At 43.1% G+C, this 9,159-nt stretch overlaps 1 protein-coding gene across 3 annotated transcripts in view; it reads right to left on the bottom strand.

The window, feature by feature from the left end:
- Window positions 1-9,159, bottom strand: part of MAMDC2 (MAM domain containing 2) — a 183,392-nt gene that overhangs the window by 73,956 nt on the left and 100,277 nt on the right. The gene's annotated exons all lie outside the window — the stretch shown is intronic.

The raw sequence follows: 9,159 nt of genomic DNA, 5'->3' as shown, positions 1-9,159 counted from the left end.
TATCCACGTATTAAAGAGATGTTGTCTATAAAACCTTATGGGGATCAGGACTAAGAAAAAAACATTCATTAGTCTTTTTCTCTCTGCTCAGCTAAATTTAATAAATGATATGTGTGGGTACTATGCTAAGAACTTTATATGCTAAGAACTTTATATGATGCATTGCCTTTGAGCTTTACCAGGTACTATGGATATATGGCTATACTCCTGGTATACCCATTTTACACATGAAAGAAAAGGAAGGCTCAGGAAGGTTACATAACTAGCTCAAACTATAATGCCGAATTTTGACCCCTCCTAGGAGCCAAAGTTATTTCTAAACTAGAACACCAGAAGGTTAAAAATAAAGTCCAAATTTTTTTCAGGAATCCTGAGAGTTAGGGCTGGACCTGATCCTACACTTTTGATGTTAGCCAGGCGAGGGCTGGGAGGCTTTTTACACTAGGCTTAGTGTAAAAAGCATCAATTCTGGAGTCAAAAAGACCTGGATCTGCTTCTCAGTTCAGCCACTTAATAGCTGTGTAATGCTGAACAATGTCCTTAATTTTCTGCCTGAGCATTCCTCATCTGTTAAATGGCGCTGGACTGCTTTCCTTCCTAGGGAGCTGTGGCATCAAATGAAGTGCTGGAGAGTGTTCAACAACAGCCTAGCCTCTGTTGTTGGAGGCTGTGATAATATCTCACAGAATCTGTCCATAAGGCTACTTTGCTAGAATGGTCTGAGGGAAACTCTTAGCGTTGCTTCATCCCTATAGTTTCTGCCAAAGATTAAACTACCCAGGGAAGACAGCAAGGGGTTATTAATAAGCAGCCCATTGTCCTTAAAACAGGTTGGATAACTGCAAATAGGAGAAAGCAAGGTAAAGCAACATCCAGAGTGGGAGGCCATCAGAAAGGCACAGGGGAGGCAGAAGGCAGGCATCAGGAGTGAGGGAAATAACTGGAGAGAAGCTGAAAGGCTGGACTTCTTTACAGTTCTGTGCGGGCTGCTGCTCACTCACCTCAGCTCTGGTCACATGTGACAACTCACTGAGAGGTGGAAATAATGTTCATGAAGGCACGTACTGTCTTTGAGTTGGGCCCTCAAGAACACACCTGACATGCTTTAGAATGGGTTCAGAGGTCACAAAAAGCATAGGCAGGTGACACATGTGTGCCAGGCTCTCAGTTTAGGCATTCATTTCTACTAGATCATCTGGGGGACCTTAAGCTAGACTGCATTCTAAAATGTCAAGGACACTGAAAAGAAATACTTTACTTCCCTCACAGGAGTACTGTGAGAATTAAATAACAAAAGGTGCCTACACCCCAAGGCAGGCTTGAAGAGCCTCATTTTCTCCAGGTGCGCAAGAACAGGCCTTCCCTAAGATTGGAGAGAGACCTTGACCACCCAAAGATACCCTGCACTAAAAGGCAGGCTTCAAAGTTGACTAGACCATGATTCAGACCCCAGCTCTGCCACTTCCCAACCCTAGAAAGTCCACCCACTCATTCTTTTATTCATTCATTGACCACATACGTACCAAACAAAATTTATTGAACAGAATTTTACTGATGACCTACTTTGCACCAGGGCACAGTGCTAGATGCTGTGGATACAGAGATGAACAAGACCGACAAGGTCCCTGTCCTCATGAAGGCTGTATTTTCACAGGAAAAGAGATGGACAATAAACAAGTAACAAATAAACAAATGAGATCATTTCAGATTTGGATGTTATACACAAAATAAACTGGGCAAACTAATGGGGAGTAATCTGGGTATGAGGAAAGTGGTTATAAACTGGGCGGCAGTCAGGAATGTTCCTTTCTGAGAGGAAGCACTTGACCTGGGACAAAAGCATGGGAGCCAGCTTGATATGGGAATGGCTAGGGCAGGAGGCACCCCCTGTGCAGAGCACTGGCCCTGGGCTAGGAAAGGCCTTGGGACTCAAGGAACAGAGAGAAGGCCCACGTAACTATGTGGACTGTGGGACTCTATGAATGTGGCAGAATGAAGGCAGATGAAGCCAGCAAAGTGGGCAGTGATCCAACTGTGCAGGACCTCAAAAACCACAGTATGGGATGAAGCTTTATTCTGAAGGCCATAGAACAGTTTCACGCAGGGGAGGTCCAAGATTTGATTCCTGTTTCAAAGAAATGATTCTGGCTGCTGCGTCTCTCTGTCTCTCTCTGGAGTATAGAGAGAGTAAGATGGAAGAGAAGATCCAGCTACGAAGATATTGAAGTCATTTAAGTAAGAAATGATGGTGGCTTAGACTAGGGTGGTGGCTGGAGAGAGAGAAGTAGACATGTTTGAGATGAATTTTAGGGGTGTCACTGAAGGGTTTCGTCTGGAATTTAGGGAAAAGTGGCAAGGAAACAGGAAGAATCAAACTATTTAAATTTCCTGAAACTTCAGTTTCTTCACCTAAATTTGGTGTTACTGTAGCGTATTAAGGACTGAACAAGAGAGCATGTGCTGCCCAGCACAAAGTAGGTACTTGATAAACAGCCAGCTTGTGCCTTGTTCTGACCCAGGTTGAACTCTGAACCTTCTAGAAGTTCCAGCAAGTTCATTTCAGGACTCAGTCATTAGAAATTCCAACTAATACAAAATGTATGCTAAGCTCAATAGGCTCAGAAAAATCTGTTAAACTGTCATCAGTTTGGAAGTAAAGTCAATACTGAGTTATTAAACCACCCACAACAGCCAATATGAAGCTTCCAGACAGACTGTGACACCTGACAAGTGTTGGCCGTATGCTTATTTGGGTGCTCTGTGACTTAAAACTCCTTTCTCAATGGCAAGAATTTTGGAGAAACATGTACTCTCTGTGGACAGAAACCACATGTGGAAAACAGTAGCGTAGGTTTGGGTGTCATAGCTCTGGAAAACTCTTGATCTCTGAAGCCTTGACAGGGGTTCCTGGCTTACAGGGTACACATGAGGACTACTGATCTGACTCCAGCTTTCTGAGTCACTCACAATGAAAAAGCTACCTAGGGGCAGGAAGACCATTCATCTAACTCTGTTGCTGCCCAGCTGTATGGTCACAGGAACGTCTCCCAGCACTTCAGGGTGGGGGACCTGGGCAGGGGCACTACACAGACATATCCTTGCACAGGCCTTTGGCTACCACAAAATCTGCTGGGCTACCATGCCTGGTTTCAGTGCAGCTCAGCTGCATATGAGCCTGAAATACACGGTCTTTCTTATTGCTCTCTTCTTTTTTGCTTTTATTGTGGTTATTCAGAGCAATAGTTCTCTATGTTGGATGTTACAATACCCTGGTGCACTTTATAAAATACTGATTCCCAGGCCCCACACCAAAAGATTCTGACCTAATCAGTATAGTAGATGCACCGCCCAACTGATCCTTCAGGAATGAAGGGCTTATTCTCCCAGTTGCTGAAAGTGTAGCCAGTGGACAGCACTCGGCTTGTTAATAATCTGTGGAAAGTTGCTCGGCATTTCAAGGCAATACCCTCTTCCTGAGGTAGCCAGCATCCAATGACCAATCAATATGGGACTATAAAGACAACATTGCTCTGAAACAGGACAACTCTGAAAGGCCACACCAGTTTCAGAGCTCCCTGTAGGTCAGCTGAGGCCTTCCTTGAGAATGCACTGCAGCCCGACAGCTTCCCCTGCCTGATCCTGCTTCCTTTCCTTCCTTTCCTTCAGTGGTGATCCCAAGAGCAACCCTCATAAACTTCCTGCAAGTAAGTCTCCATCTCAGGGTCTGCTTTCCCTGGTTTGAGGTAACACTTGGACATCAGCATTATAAAGCTCCACAGCTTTATAATTTCTTTTTTTTTTTTTTTTTTGAGATGGGGTCTTGCTCTGTCACCCAGGCTGGAGTGCAAATCTTGGCTCACTGAAACCTCCATCCACCTCCTGGGTTCAAGCAATTCTCCTGCCTCAGCCTCCAGAGTAGCTGGGACTATAGGCTTGCACCACCATGCCTGGCTAATAAAAAAAAAAAAAAATTTTTTTTTTTTTTTTTGAGACAGAGTCTTGCTCTGTTGCCCAGGCTGGAGTGCAGTGGCGCAATCTCGGCTCACTGCAAGCTCCACCTCCCGGGTTCACGCCATTCTCCTGCCTCAGCCTCCTGAGTAGCTGGGACTACAGGTGCTTGCCACCACGCCCGGCTAATTTTTTGTATTTTTAGTAGACACGGGGTTTCACCATGTTAGCCAGGATGGTCTCGATCTCCTGACCTCATGATCCGCCCGCCTCGGCCTCCCAAAGTGCTGGGATTACAGGCGTGAGCCACCGCGCCTGGCCTTTAAAATATTTTTAAGTAGAGACGGGCTATTACCATGTTGGCTAGGCTGGTCTCCAACTCCTGACCTCAGATGATATGCCTGTCTCGGCCTCCCAAAGTGCTGGGATTACAGTTGTGAGCCACCATGCCTGGCCCTCCCTAGGTGATTTTAATAAGGGTGAATAACCCCTGCTCAAAAGTCAGAATGTGGCAATCAGTCAACAGACAATTATTGAGCATCAACTGAGTGCCAAGTATATTGCTAGGTTTTTGGTCCCAGATGGAAAATTAAGAGAGAAATTAAGAAAACTGACTCTGATTGCAAAGCTAGTAAGTGGCAGACTTGGGGTTTAAAACTAGAGAGATTGCTGTGTCTGTTCTCCTAATCACTATGTTATGCTGTCTCCAAGATGATGGAGGGGAAGCATAGGATGCCAGGGAACCCTAACCTGGCCATGCTGGATAGAAGTGGAGAGTGGGGTCAGAGAAGGATTCTCTGAGGAAGTGATGTTTAAGCTGAGATCTAAATAAGAAGAGTGTAGGCAGAGGCAACAGGGAATGCAATAATCTAAGGTAGGAGAGAGCAGAGTGTGTCCCAGGAACTGATTGCTCAGTGTGATTAGAATGGAAAATGCAAGACGTAAACCTGGGGAGGTGGCTGATGCTAGAGCATGCCTTTTCTCTAAAAGCAATAGGAAGCCAAAGGGTCCCTGCAGAGGAGGGTTGCAGCACGATAACTCTACAGCTGGACAGAGACAGATTGCAGGGGAGCAAGAATGAATGGCAGGTGAGGATGGTTTTTAATTTCAATTGTCAGATTCAATTTAAAGACCAATGGTTCTCATCCAAGGATAGGATGACACCTCTAGGGCCATTTGGAAATGTGTGGAAATAATTTTGGTTGTTGCAATAATCACAGATGCTAAACATCCAGTAAGGTGAGAAATGTTCTCACTGCAAAGGCACAACTGTCCTCTTCAAAATGCCAAGGGCGCCCTCATAGGGAAATCATGCAATAAGCAAACACAGAAGGCTTAACTGTAGGAATATAAATGTTCTACGCCATAACAATGTGAAAGTTCAGTAATTGTGTATCTGGGAGAATTTGGGAAGTCAAGGGGGTAAGAGAGGTGAAGGGAAATGCGGGGTCGGGGGAGATTTATTCATTTTAACATGGTGGGGTGTCAAGAGACACTGTCTAAAGTTTATGGATCCAAAAATAAATGGTTTAGTGTACTAAAGTTGTAAAGGGAACCAAGAAAAATGTTCAAAATAAAAACAAAACTAAAAATTACGAGGAAGAGAGAGAAAAGCAGAAGGAATAGTATAAGTTCCTTCTCTTTCATAGTAGGGAGTCAGCCAACACAGCTAAGGTTAATGAATCAAGAAACAGAGGTGGAAATATAGAGTTATAGAGGAAGCCATCAGTGAATCAGGAAGAAAAACCATCAGAAAAACAAGAAGTGGAAGTAGAATTTTAAATATTTATGTATTTATTTATTTATTTTTTGAGATGGAATCTTGCTTTGTTACCCAGGCTGGAGCACAGTGGCATGATCTTGGCTCACTGCAACCTCCACCTCCTGGTGGCACAAGCGATTCTTGTGCCTCAGCCTCCTGAGTAGCTGGGACTACAGGTGTGTACCACCCAGCCTGACTAATTTTTGTATTTTTAGTGGAGATGGGGTTTCACCATGTTGGCCAGGCTGGTCTCGAACTCCTGACCACAGGTGATATGCCTGCCTTGGCCTTCCGAAGTGCTAGGATTACAGGCGTGAGCCACCACACCCAACCAAATGAGGCAGTTAGTCTTGATGTTTATTTATTTATTTTTAGATGGAGTCTTGCTCTGTTGCCCAGGCTGGAGTGCAGTGGCGTGATCTTGGCTCACTGCAACCTCCGCCTCCTGGGTTCAAGTGACTCTCCTGTCTCAGCCTCATGGGTAGCTGGGATTACAGGCACGTGCCACCATGCCTGGCTAATTTTTGTATTTTTTTAGTAGAGATGGGGTTTTGCCGTGTTGGCCAGGCTGGTCTCGAACTCCTGACCTCAGGTGATCGACTCGCCTCGGTCTCCCAGAGTGTTGTGACTTCAGGTGTGAGCCACTACTCCTGACTGGAAGTGGAATTTTGAGTTCAGCAGTAGGGACTAGTGAGGGAAACTCTGATTTCTCATTTTATCCCTTGTCTTAAATATATTTTTGTATGTTTATTTCTACCTGTATATGTTATATAAGTAAGTGAACTTTAGTTTCCTGCTTACCCAATGCATGCTTCTATGATGGATGTCAAATGGTTCTTTTGCTCTCTGAGAAGCTATTTCTATCTAACAGGGACCTGCCAAGAACTAAGGGCCACTTTGAGACATGTAGCCAGAGTTTTCTAGTGTTGAACTATACTGTCTCCTCATCTGCACTGGGGCTGAATCCATGACTAGTTCTTTCTGAGTGCTGTAAGAACTTCTCTGCCCCAACTGGGTCTAGATCCATTTTTCCCTAAGTGGTTGTGGGGAACTGTGCAGTTGCTGGGCGGCTTGGTAGTTGGCCTCCAAAGAAGAAAAGGGCAAATTCCTAGGGGCACCCTTATCTGCTAGGAGGCGTGCACCAATTCAGGTATAAGCAGAGACTCACTATAAAGGAATGGGCAGATTCCTAAACAACTCATGTTGTTAACAGAGGATAAAGTAGGGTCGGGGGAGGTGAGTGGAGTGATGAGCAGGAGTTTTCTAGAATACAGCATGGCCTGAATTTTAACCGTCTAAACACTGGCTCAGCTGGGTCTCTATTTGTCATTATTTTTTACAGCAACTGGTAAAACTACTCCTCTGTCTTTTTATGTAGCCCTTCTGCGGGCTTTACATGACATTGCATGGTAGTTAGTTGCTTACATATCTTAATCTTCTATCATCTGTGATCTCTTCTTCTTCAAGGGTAGGATCTGAGCCTCATTCATTTTTATATTCCTTGTACTGAGCATATACCTAATAAACACTGGTTGAGTAAAGAAAACGAATGAATAAATAAATAAATAATTAATTAAATCAAAGCCAAATGAATAAATAAAATGCTTATTTTATCCTCCTTTAAAAAAATCAGCAAAATAGGACATAGAGTGTAACGAAGATTCCATTACTTTCTAGTGCACCCCTGATTGTGGGACTCTGGTATTTGCTTGTATGTGTGTGCATGTGTGTGTGTACATGCGTGCATGTGTGTGTATTACTATAACTACTTGTAAGAGTTAAATAATTGGTAATGGGAACTCAAGTTAGGCCTTTGGGATCCCTAAGAAGTGCAGAGAAACTTGGATTTCTCCAGTACTAGTAAATCGAAGAGGAAAGTTCAATAATGCTGCTGCAAGAGTCCATCTATAAGATGACATTTATAGGAAGAAAGGCTTGTTCAAAAATTATTTGATATTGTCTAGGCAATGAGCTTAAAGAGCAAGAGTCTAAGCTAAGGGTAGAAACATGGTACCAGAAACACCTGTTTGCTTCCTCTCTCCTCCAGGGAGCTGAGCAATATAGCTCAATTTAGTTAGGTGATCAAAGACTGATAAAATCACGTAAGGAATACTTACAACACTATCTACTTAATTCGCATACAAATAATAAGAAGCCGTTTCTGTAAGATTGTGGTAAAACTTAGATGCTGCTACTCTGCTAGAGGTATTAGAAATCAGTTTAACTCTTTTAGAAATCAGTAAGTCAAGGAGGTTGCCATGCTATTCCTGCCTAGCAATGGAAAATAGTTTTTCTTCTTACCTAGCAATGGAAACAAAAGATTTTCAGAGATCTTTGATTAACCATGGTAAAGTTTAATGATGTCCTGGAGGGTTTTGTAATGGACTAAAAGTAACCAGGCAATATTGTGATAAAAGTGGTGTACTAGATTTCTTTGGCAGGAAGTTATAGATGGACACAGCTATGATTCTATCCAGATGGTTGTAACCAAGAGAAGTTCGGGCTATGAATGTCTGTGCAGGTTCTACTGTTCCCCCAAGTTTGCACCTTCCCCAGGGGAGCCTGCACTTTGGGTGACTCCTGGATTTGAATGTGATAGACTCATTCATTCATTCCTTCCTTCCTTCATTCAACAATGTTTATTGAACTACCACTGTGTGAGTTATCTGTTTGAAGGATAGCACTTTCTTATTTTTCTTTGGGACCCTTTCTTACACGACAGGATACTCAAGAGATATTTGCTGATTGACTGACACAGGCTGAAGCAAAATGGATTTTTCCCACACTGGTTTCATTCTGAGTTGCAGTTGACAGAATTTATTGCATCTGTAAAACTTCTTTAAGTTTATGAGTTGCTAAGCTTGAGAGATTTCAGCTTTCTTTTCCATTCCCCTTGCAATAAAGATCTCTTTTTATATTCTCATTTATATCAAAATCAGATGCTGACGGTTCCCTTATGTAAATTCTCTCTGGCTAGGGTGGTGTTGGTTCTATATTTTTTAATGAGCTTCCTCATCCTGTGTTCAGCTAGAGCCTTAGGTTGTTAACCTTAAAGCCTCAATGCAGAACCAGGCTCACTGATTTCACCTTTTTAAAATACTAGCATTCCCACTAGTGTGTGTATGTGTGTTTGAGAAAGAGGGAGGGAAAGAAAAAGAGAGAGAGAGAATTATGACTAAAGTTTCAAACTAAAGTTCAGCTGTTGAACTTGGACAATTCATGTACTCTCAGTCTTTGAATTAGTCTTAGGGAATTTAAGAGATAAACAAAAAGCAAACTCTCTAGGTGGCTGTGATTCAGAGACCCAGAAAACAGAAAATAACTGAAGGATTAACCTGTATGTGGCTGGGAGTAGGGTGTAAGGGTGAGGCCGTAGGCCTGAACAGAAGGAAAATAATACATCACCAGTTGACAGTAGCTAGACGGACATTCACAAAACTAGTCCAGCA

This window comes from Homo sapiens, chromosome 9, assembly GCF_000001405.40.
Source record: "Homo sapiens chromosome 9, GRCh38.p14 Primary Assembly".
Lineage (NCBI taxonomy): Eukaryota > Metazoa > Chordata > Mammalia > Primates > Hominidae > Homo > Homo sapiens.
This window is presented reverse-complemented; position numbering and strand designations above follow the sequence as displayed.